This window comes from Homo sapiens, chromosome 12 (assembly GCF_000001405.40).
Source record: "Homo sapiens chromosome 12, GRCh38.p14 Primary Assembly".
NCBI classification, from domain to species: Eukaryota; Metazoa; Chordata; class Mammalia; order Primates; family Hominidae; genus Homo; species Homo sapiens.
In genome coordinates this window covers 10,001-32,332 of record NC_000012.12, presented here as the reverse complement: position 1 = coordinate 32,332, position 22,332 = coordinate 10,001, and the positions used below count along the sequence as shown (strand labels likewise).

At 55.1% G+C, this 22,332-nt stretch overlaps 2 pseudogenes across 1 annotated transcript, besides 5 other annotated features; one reads left to right on the top strand and one right to left on the bottom strand.

Annotated features, from left to right (window-relative positions):
* The first annotated feature begins 317 nt into the window (after positions 1-317).
* WASH8P (WAS protein family homolog 8, pseudogene) lies at positions 318-17,856 on the top strand (annotated as a pseudogene). Its single transcript, NR_130745.1, has 11 exons — positions 318-455; positions 5,379-5,532; positions 13,849-13,960; positions 14,150-14,296; positions 14,474-14,610; positions 14,850-14,985; positions 15,163-15,364; positions 15,453-15,611; positions 16,268-16,420; positions 17,180-17,248; positions 17,389-17,856. The product of NR_130745.1 is annotated as a WAS protein family homolog 8, pseudogene (transcript).
* Positions 536-1,202: an enhancer, noted in NCBI's record as "OCT4-H3K27ac hESC enhancer chr12:73943-74609 (GRCh37/hg19 assembly coordinates)". NCBI's record gives its function as "activates a minimal SCP1, AML or CMV promoter by ChIP-STARR-seq in primed H9 embryonic stem cells {active_cell/tissue: H9 hESC(primed)}" and the evidence as "EXISTENCE:reporter gene assay evidence [ECO:0000049][PMID:30033119]".
* Positions 4,902-5,403: an enhancer, noted in NCBI's record as "H3K4me1 hESC enhancer chr12:78309-78810 (GRCh37/hg19 assembly coordinates)". NCBI's record gives its function as "activates a minimal SCP1, AML or CMV promoter by ChIP-STARR-seq in primed H9 embryonic stem cells {active_cell/tissue: H9 hESC(primed)}" and the evidence as "EXISTENCE:reporter gene assay evidence [ECO:0000049][PMID:30033119]".
* Positions 5,404-5,903: an enhancer, noted in NCBI's record as "H3K4me1 hESC enhancer chr12:78811-79310 (GRCh37/hg19 assembly coordinates)". NCBI's record gives its function as "activates a minimal SCP1, AML or CMV promoter by ChIP-STARR-seq in primed H9 embryonic stem cells {active_cell/tissue: H9 hESC(primed)}" and the evidence as "EXISTENCE:reporter gene assay evidence [ECO:0000049][PMID:30033119]".
* Positions 8,070-8,949: an enhancer, noted in NCBI's record as "H3K27ac-H3K4me1 hESC enhancer chr12:81477-82356 (GRCh37/hg19 assembly coordinates)". NCBI's record gives its function as "activates a minimal SCP1, AML or CMV promoter by ChIP-STARR-seq in naive H9 embryonic stem cells {active_cell/tissue: H9 hESC(naive)}" and the evidence as "EXISTENCE:reporter gene assay evidence [ECO:0000049][PMID:30033119]".
* Positions 13,296-13,796: an enhancer, noted in NCBI's record as "H3K4me1 hESC enhancer chr12:86703-87203 (GRCh37/hg19 assembly coordinates)". NCBI's record gives its function as "activates a minimal SCP1, AML or CMV promoter by ChIP-STARR-seq in naive H9 embryonic stem cells {active_cell/tissue: H9 hESC(naive)}" and the evidence as "EXISTENCE:reporter gene assay evidence [ECO:0000049][PMID:30033119]".
* Positions 17,807-20,023, bottom strand: DDX11L8 (DEAD/H-box helicase 11 like 8 (pseudogene); annotated as a pseudogene).

The following is a 22,332-nucleotide window of genomic DNA, read 5'->3' as shown; positions in this document are numbered from 1 at the left end:
CTTGACTGATGATGCTCTTTTTATATATTTAACTTTTTAAAAAAGCCTCTTTTCTTTCTTTTTACCAGCTTTTCACTAGCTTTTTAAAAATTGTGGTAAAACATACATAACCTAAAATTCACCGTCTAAACCATTTTTCAGCATACAGTTCAGTGGGATTAAGTAGATTCACACCGTTGTGCCGCCATCACTACCACTCATTTCCAGCACCCTTCCATCACCCCAGCCTGAAACTCTACCCATTGAACACGAGCTGCCCAACTCCGCCTTGCTTCCCCATTCCTGGCGACCACTGCTTCTGTCTCTGTGAATTTTGACTATTCTAGGCACTTCACAAAACTGGACTCATACGATATCTGTAGTTTTGCGTCTGGCTTCTCTATTTAATTCTTAAAGGGGGGTGGGAACTAAGCAGATCACAAGGGAGCTGCCCACAGAGGTAAAGACAAGGTCAGGTAGGCTGAGAGACGCAGGAAAGCGGGTCAAGGCGTAGGGCTGGAGGGCAGGGGCGGGCCCTGGGCCTGGGCTGGGGGTCCTGCCCCGGGGCGCACCCCGGGCAAGGGCTGCCCGGAGGAGCCGAGGCTGGCGGACAGCTTGGCCCTGAGCTTGAGGGGAAGGCAGCGATGGGACAAAGGACGGAGGTCTGGGAAGAGGGTCTGCAGAGCAGAAAGCACGGGTAGGGGCGGCCTGACGCTCGGAAGACAACGCATGGGAGCCGTGTGCACGTCGGGAGCTCGGAGTGAGCGTGAGTTCCGTGCCCAGGCCCGCGACTCGGCCCGACAGGACAGCGCTCCGGGTCGACGGGGTCCTGGAGCCGCGCTCGGGGAGGGCGCAGCGGAGGGCGAGCGGCGGCGTTAGGACCCGGAGGCGCGGGCGGACTGTGGGCGGCGGGGCTAGGACCCAGCGGCTCCGGCAGAGCGGAAGCGGCGGCGGGAGCTTCCGGGAGGGCGGCTCGCAGGTGAGGAGGCGTCCGGGGCCGCGGGAAGTAGGGTCGTGGGGGCCTGGCGGGGCGAAGTAGGGGACCCGGAGGGGCTGGAGGGAGGCGGGCGGGAGGCCCGGGACCGTTCCTGACCGAGAAGCCTGCGCCAAGCTGGTGTTCCGCGGCCGCTGCCCGGTGCCCGGCTCCACTGCGAACGCCGCCGCTGGGCCCCGACCGCCCGGGAGGCGTCTTGGGCTCGCCCCGGAGCTTCCTCCCTGGAGCCGCGCCCTGCACCCGGCCTTGCCCGGCCCTAGCAGGGAAGCCAAGGCTTGTGGGGCGCAGGGACCCGGGCTCTGCGGGGTCCCGGTTCCGCCTCCCCACTTCTGCGTCTTCCCGCCCCGGCCGGGTTCTGGGAAGCCTCGCGCGGCTCTTCCGCAGCTGCTGCCCGCCCGGAGCTCCTGGTCCCTCGTAGGGGACCCCACTTCTCTGACACCGCGTTGGGTTCCCGGGGCCTACAGCGAGGCCTGTAACTCCGGGAGAGACCCTGGAGCGGGGTGTGGGAGAACGGTCTGGAGGAAGGGCTCCGAGCACTTCGAAAGTATAAACCGCGGTCCCAAAGAGGCGTGCTGTGTCTGCATTTTCCTGGGAGTGCACGGTTTACATTCTGTAAAGCAGTGCTGTCGACTAGAAATATTGTGCGATACACATGTACAAGTTTTGTCACTTAAAAAGAATTTGAAAAAACTTCATAGATGCAAAAAAAAAAACCCCACCATTATTAAATAATACTTAGGTATTTGTGGAATGCATTGAAGAGTTAACAAAATGGATAGGCAGGAAATATCGCAGACCTAGAATGAATTACAGTTACCCACTGTGGAACTGAGGAGCTAGGGTTTCTCATAAAACTCCCTGATAGAAGACGACTTTTGATAAAATTTTTTTTCCGCCAACAAAATCCCCTGTCTTCTCAACTAGTTACTGTCTGTCCACTAAATAAGAGGTGGTCCATCACTTCTTCAGATGAGCAACTACAGGCTTTTCAAAAGATAATTGCTAATCAACCCCTTTGTGCCTGGGTTTTCTTATTTGTAAAAATAGATACTACTACCTAACTCCAAAGTGTGTGGTGAAGACAAACAATTGGGGTGATGTATACTAAAGTAACGAAAGTGTTGACCACACACTACGGGCTGGTTAGTGTTAGATTCCCTTGTTTTTCCCTCAGTATCAAAAACAGATCTAATTTAGGTTTACATAAAGACAAAGTATGAAGATAAGGTGACTTACAGTTGGTACTACTAACAAAATGTTTGGGCTAAGATTTGCATTATTGCATGAAAACAACAAAACATATCAATAACAAAAAGCTTGGAATTCAGACGACAGATCCAAGTCTGGGCTTGATCTCAAGCTAGTGTTTTGATGTTGAAAAAATGTTATTTGGTCTTTCTAACCCCATTTCCTTATGTAAAATAGGGGATGATGATAAATTCACTGATAATAAGAGTTAAATGAGATTCTTGAGGAGTCAGAATGGTTCTAACATGTGTAGGTATTATTAGCAGTCATACTGTAGCATAAGAAAATACCGTCTGCTGAAAGAGGGACAATAAAGATTATCTACATGGTCATCATTTAAAAGCTACCAGATATAGGAAGAAGGGGCCATAAAATGATAACGTTATGATGATTAATTTTGATGCTTAGGTCAGAGTCCATTCTAGGATATCTGCTGCCCAAAAACAGCAGAGACTCATTTCTTTGGAATCACAGGACGCTGAGTGAGAGGAAAGAAAAAGAAAAGAAATATTTAAGTCACATATGTGATTTCTAAAAGTAAAAAGAAACAGATGAAATTAGTGATATATTTTTAAAATCCAGTATATCCCAAATATGGTTATTTTAGCATGTAATCAATATAAAATAATAAGATATTTTACATTCTTTTTTTCTAGTCTTTGAAATTTGGTGCATATTTTACACTTATGGCACATCTCAATTCAGACTATCCACATTTCAAGTGCTCAGTGGCTGCATGTGCCTGGTGGCTACCATATTGGACAGCACAGGTCTAAGGATTTCATTCCTGCCACAAGTCCAAACTCCTAGCTTTAATTTTGAGTGTTTTTAACAAACTGGCCTCTGTTTATCATTCTTTCTTCTAGTACTTCCCCAAGGATGATTGTACCCTCAGCACTCAAGACCGCTTGCGGTTCCCCTACACACTTTTTGTTCAAGCTGTTTCTTTTACCTGGAATGCTGTCTTTGCACCTTCTTCCTGGACCTGGTTCACCCTTGTTGCCTAGGCTGGAGTGCCATGGCGCGATCTTGGCACACTGCAACCTCCACCTCCCTGGTTCAAGTGATTCTCCTTCCTCAGCCTCCCGAGTAGCGGGGATTACAGGCATGCACCACCACGCCTGGCTAATTTTGTATTTTTAGTAGAGATGGAGTTTCACCATGTTGGTCAGACTGGTCTCGAACTCCCGACCTCAGGTGATCTGCCTGCCTTCGCCTCCCAAAGTGCTGGGATTACAGGCGTGAGCCGATGCGCCCGGCCGAGAGGCACACATTCTGCTAAGAGCTTTTTCCTGACTCCCCTAACTCCAAGAGGGATTTGTCACTCCTTAGCTTTGTACTCATGACTGGAGTAGAATGAATTTAATTTGAGTTTAGTTGTTTTTGAGACTCTCCCTGGCTAGTGTAGTGTCTTATTCGTCTTTGTTGTGATCATGGTCTGCACCTAACAGATGATCAGTAGATGTTTGCAGACAGAAAGTAAACCACTCATCAGGTGTATTCAGTCCCATTCTTGAACGGGCTTGCTGTCTCCTTTTTGAGGAGATTTGTGTATGTACTCTTCTTTCACGCATATGTGTGAGCAAACACACACACACTAACAAGAAATTCATCTGAAGATGTGCACAGGAAATATCTTGCATCTTTACCCCCTTTGTGATCTTACATATGGGAGAACTGAGGCACAGAAATAAGTTAGGACAGCCAGCAAACTTGCATCAGTATAAATACAAAGAAGGGGAGGGAGGAACATGCTTGAAAGGGGTGTGCTGGTCTCAGAGGGTTAGGTTTCTCAGTTGGCTGGGCATCAGCTGGCCATGCTTTAGTTATTTGATGGGAGGAAAAATAAGTGCGAGGTGAGGAGTAACTCCTGGGCTCTGATGAGTATTCTAGGCAAGTACAGATCTGGAAAGCCTGTATGCAAAGGAGGAACTCACTGAAAAGTGCTGGCCTGAGGAGGGCAGAAGGGAGGGCTGGGGAAGCCAGCAGGGGGAGCAAAGGAGTAGGCTTCAGCTGGGTGAATCCGGTGTGGTATGTTATGTAAAATATACAAATTATTATTGGGAATAACCACGTCTCAGCAGTGCTAGTTCTCAGTTTGGAGAATGGGAAATCGAAAGGATCAGATTCAGAGACGGCAACTTACTCAAGGTCACAGCATTTTAAACCCAAATGAAATCTCCTAGGCCCTTCATGCCACACTCATCCATCCCTACCTACTTGTGTTGCAACCAAGGGCCCCACTGTAGTGCCTAGGGGAGCAGGTCTAGGGCATAGTGCCAGGCCTGATTAATGTCTTCCTTACCATTTTCCAGCGAGGGGCTGTGATTAGGCCTATTTATAGGGGCCTGGTCCCTTAATATTCTGCCTGGTGCATCTCTTGCCAATCAAATCAGTGCTGTCTGCAGTGTGATTGCTGCTGTAGTGGCACCAGGGAGAGGAGTTAATTAAACCCAATATAAATAGACTCTCCCCTCACTGTGCAATTCCAGGAGTGTTTTTCCTTCCTGTCCTCCACCCCCACAGGCACCTCTTTCCTCTTGGCCCCCTAAGCTCTAGCCTGGGTGAGCAGGGCTGGATACTCCTATACCTAGAGTCACTAGCCACTGCCCAGTCTGTTTCAGGAGCAGACCTCAAATTCCTCAGGGGTTAAAGTGGGAAGAACCCGTGTGTGCACATTTTTTGTGCTTTTCCAGAACTGTGTACCATTTGGCAGTTGATCAGGCAATCTCCCCCGCTACCCCATTTCTACCCCTTTGTTTCCAGCCTCTTTTTTCCTCTGCAACCAAGGTTTCTTGTTTATCCAAGGTGGGGAGCTGAACTGAGACAAGGTATGGAAAGGGTGCCTGGCAGGTAGCAAGCACCTTGTAGGGGGTCAGAAATGTTGCACCTTCTCTGAACTCCTCCATTGACCCTAGAGATTCCCCAGTCCCTGGCCCTGCCCTTTCCCTCATTCACTCAGCAGGCATCAGCAGAGTCCCATCTATGCGCTCCTGGCCTCTCAGCAAATGCTCTGTCCCCTACTCCCCTATCTGTGCAGGCTGAAGCTATGTGCATAGTTGGGATGAGGGCTGTGTTGTCTCAACACCACGCTGCCCTGTGGTGGGGGCGTGCCGGTGGTCGTGGGTGGCTCTGATGCTCCGGCTCCGACCCACAGGCACCATGACTCCTGTGAGGATGCAGCACTCCCTGGCAGGTCAGACCTATGCCGTGCCCCTCATCCAGCCAGACCTGCGGCGAGAGGAGGCCGTCCAGCAGATGGCGGATGCCCTGCAGTACCTGCAGAAGGTCTCTGGAGACATCTTCAGCAGGTGGGTGCTGCCACTCACCCCCACCTGATGAGAGGGCCATCCCTGTCCTGGGCAATCCCAGCAACACACCCTCTGGGAGCAGCCCCCTTGGGGAATCCTGGTCCTGGGGAACCCATCTGGTTTCCCTGTGTGGGAGGGGCTGAAGTGAGAGCCCAACTTGGAAGCTTTTACTCCTGGGAGTCCGAGAGCTCACTCCCTTCCACCCCACTTAGCCTCCTGGTTTCCTGTGGTGGCTCTGCTCTCACAACTCATGCTTTTCCTCCCATTGGAGGGCCTATTCCTTCACGTTTTCCTGCAGCCAACAAATATTTACCCAGCAGTGCTCGTGTGCAAGGCAGTGTGGGAATCTCTATATATCCAGCCATGGATAAGGCAACATACCTCTCCACCTGGAGCGCACATTCTGGCAGGAGAGAAAGACCTAAATAAGCAATAGATGATTAGTTCTTCAATAACAGTTGTGACAAGGTCTATTGATAATATTTTGTAATCACTAATATTCATATAAACCGTGCACCACCATTGATTTGAGTGCATTAACTCACACTTCATGAGCAGGCACTGCCGTCATCTCATTTTACAGATGAGGAAACTGAGGCACAGAAAGGCTGAGAGACCTGGCCTAGTGACAGAGCCAGGATTCAAAGCCATAGATCATGGCCCCGGGTTACGTAGGTTATTACTGCATCTGTTCAGGGGAGATGGGGTACTGTGAGGCTCGTCATGGGAAGCCTGGCTTGGTCTCAGGTCAGGGAAGGCAGATGTGAGGAAATGACATTTATGGTAAAGTCTGAGGGTTGAGTGGGTGGGTTGGGAAGAACATTCCAGAAAGAAGCACATGAACTACAGCCTGGAGGTGGAGGACCTAAAAGGAAGCCAGCATGGCTGGAGCACGGAGTGGCCATTGAGGGAGGCGAGCTGGAGGGGTGCAGCTTCTTGTATTGGCAGCGCTGACCTCGCACAGTCCTTGGGCTCCAGTGACTTCACTCAGTGTTTATCTTACATGAGTGAGTGAATGGTGTTTGCTGTTTTTTTGGCAAAGGTCCCAGGGGTTGTCGGGTACACAGGTCCTGTCTTTGGCCATAAGCAAACTGAAATGAGGCTTGGTCTCCTTCCCAGGATCCCACACCATGCCTCACATGGTAGACCCCAGCGGGAAGTATGTGACTGCCTGACTCAGGTGCCTCTCGTGGTCCAAGCCATCCCTGCCCTGTCCCTTCCCTGGTTGTCGCCAGACCTGGAGCCCCTGCTCCTTCACTTTGCAGCCTCCTCTTCTGTCACCAACTGGGAACCCACCTCTTCCTGAAAGTCCTCCCCCACTGACTCACCGGCTTGCCCCAAGCTTGTCAAGAATGTCCCAGTAACCAGGGGACACACACTGAAGTGACTGAGGGGTTACCTTGGAGTTGATGCCTTGGCTCAGATCCAGCTCCCCTGTTTTCTTCCTCTGTAACCTTGGGCAACCCAACCCCTCTAAGCCTCGGTGTTCTCATTTGTGAAGTTGTGGTAATAATGGTAGCTTCCTGGTAGAATTATTGTAAATATTAAATTAATCAAAACATGCAAAGGAATGGAACAGTGCCTGGCACCTAGGAAGCCTTCAGGAAATGCTGTCTCTTCCCTGTTGATAATCTTGACCCGTACACTGCCTTTGGTTGCCATTCATGAACCTGCCACCAATAGTAACAAAGTGCTGGATGCACCTTTTGTGCTTATCTTTGTGCTAAATGTGCCTGAGGGACGCCTAGGGAAGAGGATGCAGGTCTTTAAGAGCCATCAGCTCCAGATTATGGCCACCCCATGTCCAGCACTTAGAATGGAGGCCAAAACCATTCCCTCGGAAATTGTGTTTCCTTGCCAAGATGGGGACTGCGTGGTTGCCCTTCTCTGAGGGCAGCGCTGGATTTTTGGCATCTTTCCTTTCCTGTCCTGGTACTTGGCACCTTGTAGACAGTTGCATGTCCCCTGCCCAGGGATGGGATGAGGAGAGGGCAGGAAGGCATTTCCTGGGTAGTGGAGTGCTGCGTTCATTGAGTGTGGGTTCTCCAAGCTGCTGGCACAGCGCAGGGAGGGCCAGATGCCTCTCAGGAGCCTTGGGCCTGAGTCCTGGCTCCCTCACTCCTGGGTTCCAGGTCAATGCATCTGTCTCTCCACCATGTGCTCCACCTCGTGCTGGACCTTAAGAGATACCAATTATGTGGCTGACACTGTGTCCTAGAGGCTGGAATGGGAACACATAGGGCGAGATTGATTGTTAATTGCTAGCATGAACCGCGTGGGCTTCTCAGGGTCTAGAGTGGAGAGAAATCGGTAAGAATTGGTGGCACGCCTGTCAGAACTCCCCAAACCAAGCTAAGCAGAAATTAACCAATCAGTAGAGCAGCCTTCGGAGTAAGGGCTAAAATGATGTCCTCAGGGCCTGGTTTTGCTTTTCTTCCATGTCAGTTTGCTTCTTTGGGTCTGGCTGCATTCCCAGACAGGCCATGCTGTCGTGGTAGCAAGGTGACACGACACAGGGTCAGGTCCAGCAGGAAAGAATGCTCTCCTGTGTCCCCACTTCCTCCAGAAGCCACACTCACCCATCCCACCTGGCTTGGTCCTCATGTCTATCCCAGAATCCATTAATGGGGCCAGGGGACTATGACACAACCACTTGGCTTAGACTGAGGAGCTCTGTGGGCAGCCCCACCTGAAGCTCTGGGACTAAGCCTGCGAGAGAGATGGATTCCCCAAGGGAAATGGGGCCATTGCTTGAGTAAAAAGGAAATAGTTGCTGAAGAGTAAAACCACTTGCTTACTCCACATAGGGCAGACTCCTGGAAGAGGGGGGCAGGGTAGGGAGGTGGATATGCAGGTTGCCCTGGTGGGGTCTGGAAATGGGGGCTGCAGGCTTGGAGGGAGGCCTCAGTGTGGCTTGGAACGTGGTGTATGGTGGTCTGCCGCGAAGGCCGGCCTGCACAGGGGTGGGAGGGGGGAGCTTCTGCATGGGAAGCACAGACAGCGCTGCCTCTCCCTTGCACTCAGCTCTCGGGGCATGAGAGGCTGACTTTCCGTGAGCCTGTGGGCCAGGCCTCTTTGAATGGGGCTGAGGGAGCTTTGCCCTGGTTCCTTTGTGTCCCCACGGTGCCACGGGAGGCTCCCTGGCAGGGTGTGGGGCAAGGCAGTGAGTGAAGAGTTGGGATGAGTGAGTTAGGGCCCACGGATTACTCAAGACAGGACTTCACGTTGATTCAGGAGCGTTAGGGAGCTGTGATTGGATTTTGAGCAGGGCAGGGATGGGACAGAAGAGTTTGGGGAAGGTTCCTCAGGCATCCGTCACGGAAGGGATAAGAAGGGAGAGAGAGTGGATGCCGGGGACACCCAGAAGCTGTTATTGTAGTCAGGATGCGACAGGGGTGAGGCTACAGACAGGGGACTTGCAAGCAGGGAGGGCAGGGTGAGACATTCAGAGGAAACGACGACAGGAAATGGTGACAGATAGGGAACGAGGATGAAGGGAAGGGAGAGCCAGTGACGACTGGCAGTGGAGTGGGGAGCACCGCCACCTCTCCTCCTCCACTTGCCCCCTCCTGTGGCACTGGACAAGCGAGTGGGCTTTTCGTTGTCCGTGGGCTTTTTTGTTGGGGATGTGACCAGCTTTGAACCCTTCCCCTTAAACATGCTCCTCCTGCACGGAAGAGACAGGGGCAGGGGAGAGACTCTCTCCCCACCACCCCATCTCAGGCCCCAGCACAGCCCGGCCTCTGGCCTCACTGGCGTCTGTGCCCAGTGACGCAGGCAGGTGAGCTCCTGGCAAATTAGCATTCCAGGCCGTGCTCTCTCCTCCTGCTCTGCTGCAGCCGGGAGTGTGCAGAGACTGGAGGGGATGACAGTCACCTCCCAGGCTGTCTTCAGCTGTGCCCTCCAGCCCCTCCCTGTCCCCTCTTTCTGCCCCTCCAGCTGCTGCTCCCTCTTCACCTGGGAGAAGCCAGGCCCCCAAAATAACTTGCCAGATATGTCACCTGCTTCCCATGACGTAGATGACAAGGCAGAAGGGAGTTGGGATGGCACGGGGAAGAGGAAGGAACAGACTCTGTGTGTGGAAGTTTGGATGCTGTCATCTGCCATTGCCCGTCAGCCCCTGCCCAACCTCTTCCCCCAAGAGGCAGTGCCACTGCCCAGCACCTTCCCCCTGGGAAGGGTGATTTTCTCTGCGAAGCTCTTGGTCCTTTCCTCCATCTCTTTGTCCTTTTCCCCACCTCTTCCTTTCTTCTCCCCTTCCTCCTTTCCCCTTTCCCCTTGTCCTCGCTTCCTCCATCCTTCCTTCTCCCCTGTTCTCTCTACCGATTGGCACCTGGTGGCCCCGAAGGTTACACATTGCACTAGATCACTGCATAATTAGCAAGTCATTCTTAATTATCCCAGAGTGGAGAAGATAAAGGTGAAGGCAAGAGCCCAGGTTCAGCGTCTGCTTCCCTGGGGTCATGACAGAGGCAGGGGAGGAGAAGCAGTGAATGTGAATCTGGGTCAGGAGTGGGTGCTCCCTGCTTCTTCCTCCCCAGCAGCCTCTAGGGGGACTGGTGTGCTGATGTTGATGGGCCATGATCAGCTCCTTCTCACCTTCACAGTAATCCCATGATGGAGAAGGGACCATTCCTGTTTTTCAGTGGAAGAAGCTGAGGCAAAGACCAGTTAGTGACCTCCCCAGGGTCACACTGCTGCTAAACAGATGTGAAACCCAGGCCTGTGGGATGTTGTGGTTATTGATATTCATTTCTTACTTCCCCAGGAGCCCTGAGTCCCTTTGAATGTGGATGTGTGTCGTCTGATTCGTCTTTGACTCCCACGGCCCCAGCATGTGCTCTACAAATGGGATGCACTCTGGTTATTGAACAGTGAGGGGTGGAGGGGGGAGAAGGAAAGCAAGGGATGCTTGGAGATGGTCCTCTCCGGGGCAGATAGAGGAAGATGGACCCTTAGTGAGACCACGCGCAGAACAGGCTGGGTGAGCCACTTCCGTCCCTGATGTCCACAGAGGCAGCTTCCTCTCTAGTGCTGGGTGAGCGTGCCATAGGGTATGGCTTCAGCACTGAGCTTGTAAACTGACCTACCTTGAAGTAGGCCACCAAGCCAAGGGCGTCTGGACCAGGAATGACAAACAAATGGCACCATTCCCCCACCCTCAGGGTGGACATTGTTCATCAACGGCCTGGCCCCAGTGAGGCCTAAGGGCCTTCCCGACACAGCCTTCCAGACCATCCTGCTAGTCCATGGAGATAGCAGATACGCTGCAAGCTTTCTGATCCTGAGTCTGCACTTGTCCTCGGCACCATAGCCTGTGACCGTAAGAGAATAGACTGTCCGGGGGCTTTGTCAAGAAGCACGATGTTCCTTAGTCTCATGGGCTCTTGGCTAAGGAAAGAGTCCCAGGGTCATGTCTTCTACCTCCACCTTAGGCAGGATTCACCCTTGGGGCACCCCCGGAAGGCGCTTGTGAGCTGGAACCTAATTGCTCTGCAAAGTGATGCAGTTTATGGAATTTTTTTTTTTAACAGAACAGAGATCTGTTTCCTTGCAACTCTGCCCGCTATTCCTGATACAAGTTTACTCACTTCTCCACCTGACAGCCCTTTGGATATTTTGATATTCGAAGGGAATGATCATATTCTCAAAGTCTTCTGATCTTTAGCCAGAACATCCTTCAGTTATCTTCACATGTCGGGAGTTTCTCGCTCATCACCATCCTCATTACCCTTCTTGAGATGTTTGCTCATCTGTCACTTTCTGTTCAGCCAGCGGCTGTTACACATCAGGCCCCATCCCAGGTGCTAGAGACTTAGCAGTGAATGAGGCTGACTTCGCAGTCTGCAGGGGAGTTCAGAGTCCTCTTACTGTGTGGATCCAGTTTAAAGGGATGTGACTGTGGCTGAGACTGGTGCCTGGCATGGATTCGTTCATGAGTCCAGGGCTCTGTTTTCTGTGGTGGCTCCAAGAGAGTGCACGGTCCCTGCTGATTGAAAGAAGGATGAAGGGCAGAAGAGGGGTGGGGAGCTGTGTGCCCTAAGATCTCATTGCCTTTTTATGCCGATTAACATGCTTTTAGCCCCTACTGAGCTTATAGTTAACAGAAGTTTCCAGGTCTTTCTTCACCTGAACTGTGTCTAAAACAAGTTCCCTCCACCTTCTGTATTTATACGCTTGATTTTTAAAACCTAAATGTTGGGCTTCACATTTGTTCCCTGTAAATTTCATCTTGGTGATTGCAGTCTACCCTCTGGCCTTTAAAAATTGTCTGAGCCTTGATTCGATCATGAAACCAGCTTACCCTTCCCCTGTGTGCTGGCCCCAGTTTTCTAACCAGGTGTTGAATGAACTGGATGGACTCTGCCAGATCCCTCCGTGCAAGGCTGGAATCAGTCCATTGTTCAACTGTGCCCTTTGGGACTGTGGTTCATTTGGCTCTGATTTTTCCTATATGTTCTCTCCTCCAACCCCCATAGCTCCATCTTGTCTACAAGATTCTGTTAGAAGCCGTCAAAATCCGGCTGACTCGAGATGCGCTGTGGTGCATGTTTTCCCCGGGCACAGCAGGCTAATAATCCTGTTACAAAGAGAAATGCTGTACATTTCGAGCAGTGCTGGCCCCTGGGACTCACTGCGGCCTTTTCTAAGTGCTTACAGACTCTCTGTTTAATAATCCATTCCAGAAATTTTCCAGGGCTCATTGTTGAGCTTGGTGTTCACAACTTTGAGTGATCAGCCCTTCTCCTTTGTGGGAGCACCAGGACAGAGCAGCCTTTGTCCCTCCCCAGTCTCAGTTCCCTCCCACTGCCCCTGTGGACCTCGAATGCAGAGCTTATGCACCTACCGAAGGTCGTGTCAGCACCCAAGGCAGAACGAGGCTGCCCTGGGAACTAGGGTCAATTAAGACAGCTTGTGCTGGAGGACCCTTTACAGCAGATGAAGGCCTCTCCCCAGCCAGAAAAGATGGAGCACACGCTGGGTGGTGGCCCCGCTTCCTCACTGGAAGGAGATGGTGCTCTTCTTTTTTCTTTCTGAATTGTGGCCACCTTCATACCAGTCTGTCATGGAACACTTAAGCCGCTTGAGTGCCTGCTGGTACTCCCAGCCCTGCCATGCCTGAGCCCCCTGCACACAAGGAGCCAGGAGTAATCAGGGCAGACCCATTAGGGCACGGGGACTCCTGGATTGTGAAATTGGCTCTCTGGGGGCCAAGGCCTTCTAACGTTGGTGGAAGTGGCTTTGGCTTATTGGGTCCGGTTCTAGGCCATTCATTCCAACCTTTAGAGGCATGCCAGCTTTCCCTAGCCCAGAGTCTGCAGCCCCTCCACCATCCCACATCCTCCCCCTCCCTTTCCTCATGAACCCCAGTCGCGCCTCTGCCTTCTCATCCCTGCGCACCACACAGGCTCGCTCGTGCCCGGTGAGTGCTGAGGCTGCTCTGCACGTGGAGTGTGGCCCTGTGGGCATGGGCTGGGCTCTTGGAGGTAGGGGAGCTACAGGGGCGACTGGGAGGAGGATGTCGTGTTACACACGCATCAGAGTTAACTTTGCAGTGAGAGCGGCCTTGCTGCGGCCAAAGAACATGGAAAAGCATGAGTGGGGTGATGTGCCTTAAAGCATCAGACACTTGGGCCTCGGGCATCAGGAGCCAGCCACAGGGATGTCTGGGGAAATGGCGTTCCATGAGACGCAAGCACACAAGAATGCACTTGGCACATCTGGGGAACAGCAGGCAGCCGATATCACTGGGCCCACCCCGCACCAGGGAGGATGGAAGCAGGTGAGGAGCTAGACCACACTGAGGCGGTGGTCGGGACTCAGGGTTTGCTCAGTGAGCCGTTCACTATGTGCAGGGGCAGTTCCCCGTCTGAATTTAGGTGACGACACTCAGGTCCAGCCTTGCCAGTCTCAGCCTCCGGTCTCCATTCCCCCTCTGCAGAGGCGACTTTGTCTGCTGCACGTGATCATGAGGGGTTGTGAAGTGCTTGCCCCATCAGTAGCCATGTGTGCATGTGTAAATACCATCCTCTGTGTGCCCTGGAGGCTGTCCTTCAGATAGCAGGTACAGGTGGCAGCATAGGGCCTGTCCCTACTGAGAGTGCAGGGAACTCAGCACCGTCAACTCCTCGACCCTGCAGGTCAGATTATCCTTGTAGAGGCCCCCTGGATGGCACCAAGATCGGCCCTGGCAAGCAGGTGACCCTGACTTCAGAGCCCTTGCCTGAGGGCCTGGCCTGGCAGCTCTGCTGTTAGAAGCAGGAGGTGTGCAGGGGGTGGGGAGCAGCCCAGCCTCTGTGATCTTCTCCATGGCAGGATCTCCCAGCAGGTAGAGCAGAGCCGGAGCCAGGTGCAGGCCATTGGAGAGAAGGTCTCCTTGGCCCAGGCCAAGATTGAGAAGATCAAGGGCAGCAAGAAGGCCATCAAGGTAGTCCCCATACCCCTGTGTCCTGAGACTTTTCCCCGTGCCTCTGAGGCCGCCCATTCTCTGCCCTGCTGCCCACCTGTACCTTGGGCTTTCTTCTCGCCCAGGCTTCCAACTCCACCCTCTCCTGCCAAGCAATCCTAGCCCTCTGAGCCTCTTAGGGCCCCCTCAGACTTGTCCCTGTGTCCACAGGTGTTCTCCAGTGCCAAGTACCCTGCTCCAGAGCACCTGCAGGAATATGGCTCCATCTTCACGGGCGCCCAGGACCCTGGCCTGCAGAGACGCTCCCGCCACAGGATCCAGAGCAAGCACCGCCCCCTGGACGAGCGGGCCCTGCAGGTCTGCTGGCTGCGCACATAACTTAGCCTGTCACACACCAGGAGGACTGGATACTGGGGAGGAGCCGGGGCCACCATAGGGTTCTGTCCCCCAGAGGAGGCTGACTGGGATGGGGTGGCAGCTGATTAGGCCCAGCACCAAATATTCACCATCCCTTGGCCATCCTGGCCCTCCCAGGAGAAGCTGAAGGAATTTCCTGTGTGCGTGAGCACCAAGCCGGAGCCTGAGGACGATGCAGAAGAGGGACTTGGGGGTCTTCCCAGCAACATCAGCTCTGTCAGCTCCTTGCTGCTTTTCAACACCACCGAGAACCTGTATGGCCAGAAGGCAGGGCCGAGGGGTGTGGGCGGGAGGCCCGGCCTGGCTTAGTGGGGACCCAGGGCATCAGACACAGGTACAGCACATAGCCCAGGAGCCAGGGGGTGACTGGGGTGGCTCGGCTTGGGAGGCCTGGGACCCCACAGTGCACGCTGTGCCCCTGATGATGTGGGAGAGGAACATGGGCTCAGGACAGCGGGTGTCATCTTGCCTGACCCCCATGTCGCCTCTGTAGGTAGAAGAAGTATGTCTTCCTGGACCCCCTGGCTGGTGCTGTAACAAAGACCCATGTGATGCTGGGGGCAGAGACAGAGGAGAAGCTGTTTGATGCCCCCTTGTCCATCAGCAAGAGAGAGCAGCTGGAACAGCAGGTGGGAGGGGTGGGACAGAGGTGGAGACAGGTGCAGTGGCCCAGGGCCTTGCCAGAGCTCCTCTCCAGTCAAGGCTGTTGGGCCCCTTATTCCACCCATGGGAGGTGCACACAAGGTCTTGTTGGCTGCCCCTGCAGGTCCCTGTCACCTCTCACATGTCCCTGCCTAATCTTGCAGGTCCCAGAGAACTACTTCTATGTGCCAGACCTGGGCCAGGTGCCTGAGATTGATGTTCCATCCTACCTGCCTGACCTGCCCAGCATTGCCAACGACCTCATGTACATTGCCGACCTGGGCCCCGGCATTGCCCCCTCTGCCCCTGGCACCATTCCAGAACTGCCCACCTTCCACACTGAGGTAGCCGAGCCTCTCAAGGCAGGTGAGCTGGGTTCTGGGATGGGAGCTGTGCCGGGGACCTCCCTGCTGACACACCTTCTTCCCTAGACACCCCACACTTTGTGTTTCAGACCTACAAGATGGGGTACTAACACCACCCCCACCGCCCCCACCACCACCCCCAGCTCCTGAGGTGCTGGCCAGTGCACCCCCACTCCCACCCTCAACCGCGGCCCCTGTAGGCCAAGGCGCCAGGCAGGACGACAGCAGCAGCAGCACGTCTCCTTCAGGTGGGAGCAGCTCTTTGAGGCCACCTGATTTCTGGCGTGCTCAGTGCACTCGGGTGGATTTTCTGTGGGTTTGTTAAGTGGTCAGAAATTCTCAATTTTTTGAATAGTTTCCATTTCAAATATCTTGTTCTACTTGGTTCATAAAATAGTGGCTTTCAAACTGTAGAGCTCTGGACTTCTCACTTCTAGGGCAGAGGGAGCCTGAACAAGTGAGGCTCTGGGTTCCTCATTCCTAATTAAACCAATGGAAAGAAGGGGTCTAATAACAAACTACAGCAACACATTTTTCATTTCAGCTTCACTGCTGTATCTCCCAGTGTAACCCTAGCATCCAGAAGTGGCACAAAACCCCTCTGCTGGCTCATGTGTGCAACTGAGACTGTCAGAGCATGGCTAGCTCAGGGGTCCAGCTCTGCAGGGTGGGGGCTAGAGAGGAAGCAGGGAGTATCTGCACACAGGATGCCCGCGCTCAGGTGGTTGCAGAAGTCAGTGCCCAGGCCCCACACAGTCTCCAAAGGTCCGGCCTCCCCAGCGCGGGGCTCCTCGTTTGAGGGGAGGTGACTTCCCTCCCAGCAGGCTCTTGGACACAGTAAGCTTCCCCAGCCCTGCCTGAGCAGCCTTTCCTCCTTGCCCTGTTCCCCACCTCCCGGCTCCAGTCCAGGGAGCTCCCAGGGAAGTGGTCGACCCCTCCGGTGGCTGGGCCACTCTGCTAGAGTCCATCCGCCAAGCTGGGGGCATCGGCAAGGCCAAGCTGCGCAGCATGAAGGAGCGAAAGCTGGAGAAGAAGAAGCAGAAGGAGCAGGAGCAAGGTGAGCGGGCCCTGGAGCCTGCAGTCGGAGGGCCTTGGGCAAGATCGCCTCCTCCCCTCCAGCCCTGAGTCCACCGGGTGCTTTCTGCCCACCCCCTGCTCTTGCCAGCTGGCCCCTGCTTCCCCTAGGGCACATGCTGGAAGCCCTGGGCCGCCACCAGAGGTCCTCAGCCCTCCTGCCTGGGCTATGGCTCCTTCCTGGTTTGGGAGCCATAGTGGAGCTTTCCTCTCTAAGCTCACCCAGCTCAAACTGTGACAGGAGAATCTTCTTCGACAGCCAAGAGCGGTCCAAGGCAATGGTCAGCCACTGCAGCCTCCTGAGATATTTTTAGAGACTGGACCTGAGGCCTCTGGAGGCTACTGATGATGCCTGTTGTGAACGCAGACACTGGTGTGATGCGATGCCTGCGCCTGCAGCGGCAGTGCCCTGGGCACTATGGTTTTGAGCTTGTACCCAGCGCTGCTTTTGCCTTGCTCTGTGACCCCAGGCAAGCTGCCTCACCTCTCTGGGCCAGTTTCCCCATCGTACAGTGGTGCTGCACACCCTGGCCCTGGCCCCGAGGTGGCTGGGAGGTGGCTCCTCAAACAGCCGCTTTCTCATCAGTGCCCGGTGCTGGGTCAGGGATCGACTGAGGCTCTGAGCTAACTAGGAAACACAGTGGCCTTGGAGGGCTGGGGAGTGTCATGGGGGTGGGGACAGGGAGCCACCGGTCGCATGTGACTGAACTCTTCACCCCAGTCTGTGGCTTTCCCGTTGCAGTGAGAGCCACGAGCCAAGGTGGGCACTTGATGTCGGATCTCTTCAACAAGCTGGTCATGAGGCACAAGGGTAGGAGGCAGGGCCGCTGCCCGCCCTGGGCCGGCACCTTGTAATTCTGTCCTGCCTTTTTCTTCCTGTATTTAAGTCTCTGGGGGCTGGGGGAACCAGGGTTTCCCACCAACCACCCTCACTCAGCCTTTTCCCTCCAGGCATCTCTGGGAAAGGACCTGGGGCTGGTGAGGGGCCCGGAGGAGCCTTTGCCCGCGTGTCAGACTCCATCCCTCCTCTGCCGCCACCGCAGCAGCCACAGGTAGACGAGGACAAGGACGACTGGGAATCCTAGGGGGCTCCATGACACCTTCCCCCCCAGACCCAGACTTGGGCCGTTGCTCTGACATGGACACAGCCAGGACAAGCTGCTCAGACCTGCTTCCCTGGGAGGGGGTGACGGAACCAGCACTGTGTGGAGACCAGCTTCAAGGAGCGGAAGGCTGGCTTGAGGCCACACAGCTGGGGCGGGGACTTCTGTCTGCCTGTGCTCCATGGGGGGACGGCTCCACCCAGCCTGCGCCACTGTGTTCTTAAGAGGCTTCCAGAGAAAACGGCACACCAATCAATAAAGAACTGAGCAGAAACCAACAGTGTGCTTTTAATAAAGGACCTCTAGCTGTGCAGGATGCAAACGTCTCGGGGTCAGTGACTGCCTCCTGCCCCTGTTGGTCCCTAGGCAGTGGGGGCAGAAGCTCCCAGCTGACCTGTTTCTCTGGGAGAGAAGGGCAGTCAGCAGGGGCAGCTGTTGCAGATGGGAGGAATAGTCTCCCACAAAAAAGGTTTCAGTGACAGTCACGGGGTCTCTAAAAATAGTCATGCTGAGAGCCTAATGGCCCTTGGCACAATTGCTGGTGTTGGGGTAGAAGATGTCTTGGAGTTTGCTCAAGTGGTTGAGAGGGAGGGAGGTGCCATCGACTTGGAGGAACTGGCACCAAGCCAGGGAGATAGAAATCCAGGCAAGGCTGTGGGGCAGGTTAGGGAGCAAGGCTGCAGGAGTGACTCATGAAGAAGGTGGGGGAGGTGACAAGCTCCCAGGCAGGTGCCCTGTGGCCATGGGGATCTTTTTAAATTGAGACTAGGGGGTGAATAGTCCAGGGCAGCTAACTTTAGTTATTATAGAAAGGGCAGTAGCAGATGAGTCTGCTCCGTCTCGCTTCTAAGAAGGTGGGCAGGACACATGGCAGCCTCCTGCAGAGGCCCAGTGAGAAGCCTGGCCCTCGGCCACGCAGGATGGAAGACAGATTGGATTCCACAGAGGGGAGCTGCCCTGGGAAGATCTCACGGATGGCCAGGACCCACCATTTCTTCAGGATTCCCCTGTTTTCTCCAACGGGCACTAATGCCTGTGCCTGGGTCCTGGCAACACTCTGGACTCCACACTCTCCTGGGTTTCACCTTTGTAGCAGGATCCCTGCAGACCAGGCCCATGACAAACACCGTCTCCAGCGGGCAGAGCAAAGGAAGGGCGCAGCGCCAGGCAGTGGTGCAGCTGCCTGTCAGGAAGAGGCCTACTTCTGGTGAAACTGGGCAGACAAAAGGCAGTGAGAAATGCGATCTCGGGGTGGTGGAGGCTCTCGGGAAAGGAAAAGGCAGGAGTGAACTTCCACACAGCAGCAATGGCAGAACCAAAGGTGGCTTTGACCTCCACGAGGGCTCAGATCCAGGCCAACAGCCTGTCCAGGACAGGGTGCCGGGTGTATCACTGGTCCAGGAGCACTATGCTGGCAGAATCCCTTTGGTGCCTGATGGCCCTGCCTTCGTGGGAACAGAGGCTAAGGCTTTGAGTTACAGCTGCCTCCCCAACAGTGCATCCCCCTTTCCTTCCTCAGCCTCAGGTGGGAGACAGGGCAGGCAGCCCCCCTTTCCTCTTCTCCCCTTCTCCAGCCCCTGTCTGTCCACCCAGCTGGAGGCAGCCAGGCTTGCCTATGGACTGGTTGACAGCCTTCATGCACAGGTTCTCCACCAGAGCCTTTCTTGGGGGCCCCTGGCCTGGGCTCTGAGCTGGGAGTGAAGGGGATGACCCATGCGGACTGTTTCCTGCTTGTAGCTTTCCCTGGGAAAGACTGTGCCAGGCCTTGGAGCCAGACCAGGAGGCTTTATAGGCCACTGCAAGCAGCAGGCCTCCAGATGACATCACGGGGAAGATCAAGAGGGTGTGGAGGGGCATCCAAGCCTCCCCAGGAGACAGGAGACGCCAGCCCAGCAGAGCCCTAGGGGCGACACCACTCCCACTCACCGCCTACTCTCCTCTCACCTCTGCAACACTGGGGACACTCACAAGACTGTGATCCAAGTCGGCCGTCGTCTTCTGCAGCTCTGGAGACCTGATGCTGGGGAAGGGCATGCCTGGCATCACCACACACCTGGGGGGAGACAGGAGCCTGGGGCCGGTGGGCCCACACATCACCAGCTGCTCCGTTCTACCATTTCTTCAGCCCTCTTCGCTGTGCCTGCGGCTCTGCCCCTCCCCTCTCTGCACCTACCACACAGAGAGGCCTTGTTGAGCTCAGAGATCCCACCTAGGCCAATCCACTGGGTTCTGCGGCAGCGATGGCCTGCCTGATCTTCCACCTGCTCTCCCAGGGCCAAAGCCAGAGCTGCTGAGCCCCTCCAGCTGGCTGGTCTGAGCAGTCACAGCCCGGCTTTGGGCTCCGATGGCAGCAGACGGCAGGTAGGGGTGCAGCTGCTGGAGCGAGGGCCGGCCACGTATCACAGCCAAGGAGATGAGCACAAGCACTACTTAGTGGCCTAGGTTGTCAGAGAAGTTGATGCTCTCACTCATCTTTCCTCCAATCTTTCCCCTATGCCTGGTTGTGGTATTAAGTTACATGCAGACAACAGGGGCCAGAAGATGAACAATGGCCCATCCCACTCTAGGCATGGCTCCTCTCCACAGGGAAACTCCACTCCAGTGCTCAGCTTGCACCCTGGCACAGGCCAGCAGTTGCTGGAAGTCAGACACCTGCAGATGAAGACCACAGCATCAAGACCCTGTGACCTCTCAAAGGCCCGGTGGAAAGGACACGGGAAGTCTGGGCTAAGAGACAGCAAATACACATGAACAGAAAGAAGAGGTCAAAGAAAAGGCTGACGGCAAGTTAACGAAAAGAAAAATGGTGAATGATACCCGGTGCTGGCAATCTCGTTTAAACTACATGCAGGAACAGCAAAGGAAATCCGGCAAATTTGCGCAGTCATTCTCAACACCGGCCATGCAGCAAAATCATCAGTGGAAATTTAAGAAAATACACATGGCCAGGCCCCAGCCCAAATCACTAAGAAGAATCTCCAGGGGTTCACCTGTTAGACTGGCAAAAATCCAAAAGTAAACACTTTGTGGAGAAACAGGCATTCCTAGACATTGCTGGTGGGATACAGAACAGTACAATTCTGATGGTAATCAGTTAACAAATTAAACATATTTATTTTATACTTTTAAACCAAGGAATCCCATATTTAGGAGCCTACTGAGACCAAACAGCATATGCTCCGGGTGTTTCCCTATAATCCGCCACTACTGTTGGAGCAAGAGGGCCCGGCAGTGTCCCCAGCTGCCAGCAGGCGGGCGTGCTGCCACTACACCTTGAGCAAGAGGACCCTGCAATGTCCCTAGCTGCCAGCAGGCGGCGTGCCACCACTATACAGTAAGCAAGAGGGCCCTGCAGTGCCCCGGCGCCAGCAGGGGGCGCTGGCCACCACTCTAAGCAAGAGAGCCCTGCAGTTGCCCTAGTCGCCAGCAGGGGGCGCCCTGGCACAGCACCGTGAGCAAGCGGGTCCTGTAGTGCCCGGCTGCAAGCAAGGGGCTGTCGATCCCGGCGTTTCGGATTACTGAGGTTCCACCCGTCTCTGCGCCGCGCCGCCGTGACGTGAGTTTCTGCGCGTGCACGGCGCCACCCCCCCCCCCCGCCCCCAGCCCGGCGCCGTGCGACTTTGCTCCTGTAACACACGCCCCCCCAACCCCCGCCCGTAGGCGTGCGTCTCTGCGCCTGCGCCACGCCTCCACCCCGGACGCGCTAGCATGTGTCTCTGCGCCTGCGCCGGCGCGGCGCGCCTCTCTGCGCCTGCGCCACGCCTCCTCCCCTGGGCGCGCTAGCATGTGTCTCTGCGCCTGCGCCACGCCTCCTCCCCTGGACGCGCTAGCATGTGTCTCTGCGCCTGCGCCGGCGCGGCGCGCCTCTCTGCGCCTGCGCCGGCGCGGCGCGCCTCTCTGCGCCTGCGCCGGCGCGGCGCGCCTCTCTGCGCCTGCGCCGGCGCGGCGCGCCTCTCTGCGCCTGCGCCGGCGCGGCGCGCCTCTCTGCGCCTGCGCCGGCGCGGCGCGCCTCTCTGCGCCTGCGCCGGCGCGGCGCGCCTCTCTGCGCCTGCGCCGGCGGAGTTGCGTTCTCTTCAGCACAGACCCGGAGAGCACCGCGAGGGCGGAGCTGCGTTGTCCTCTGCACAGATTTCGGTGGTACTGCGAAGGCGGAGCAGAGTTCTCCTCAGGTCAGACCCGGGCGGGCGGGCCGGCTGAGGGTACCGCCAGGGTTAGGGTTAGGGTTAGGGTTGGGGTTGGGGTTAGGGTTAGGGTTAGGGTTAGGGTTAGGGTAGGGTTAGGGTTAGGGTTGGGGTTGGGGTTGGGGTTAGGGTTAGGGTTAGGGTTAGGGTAGGGTTAGGGTTAGGGTTAGGGGTTAGGGGTTAGGGGTTAGGGTTAGGGTTAGGGTTAGGGTAGGGTTAGGGTTAGGGTTAGGGTTAGGGTAGGGTTAGGGTTAGGGTTAGGGGTTAGGGTTAGGGTTAGGGTTAGGGTTACGGTTTGGGGTTGGGGTTAGGGTTAGGGTTAGGGTTAGGGGTAGGGTTAGGGTTAGGGTTAGGGTTAGGGTTAGGGTTAGGGTTAGGGTTAGGGTTAGGGTTAGGGTTAGGGTTAGGGTTAGGGGTTGGGTTGGGGTAGGGGTTTGGGTTAGGGGTTAGGGTTAGGGTTGGGGTAGGGTTAGGGTTAGGGTTAGGGTTAGGGTTAAGGTTAGGGTTAGGGTTAGGGTTAGGGTTAGGGTTAGGGTTAGGGTTAGGGTTAGGGTTAGGGTTAGGGTTAGGGTTAGGGTTAGGGTTAGGGTTAGGGTTAGGGTTAGGGTTAG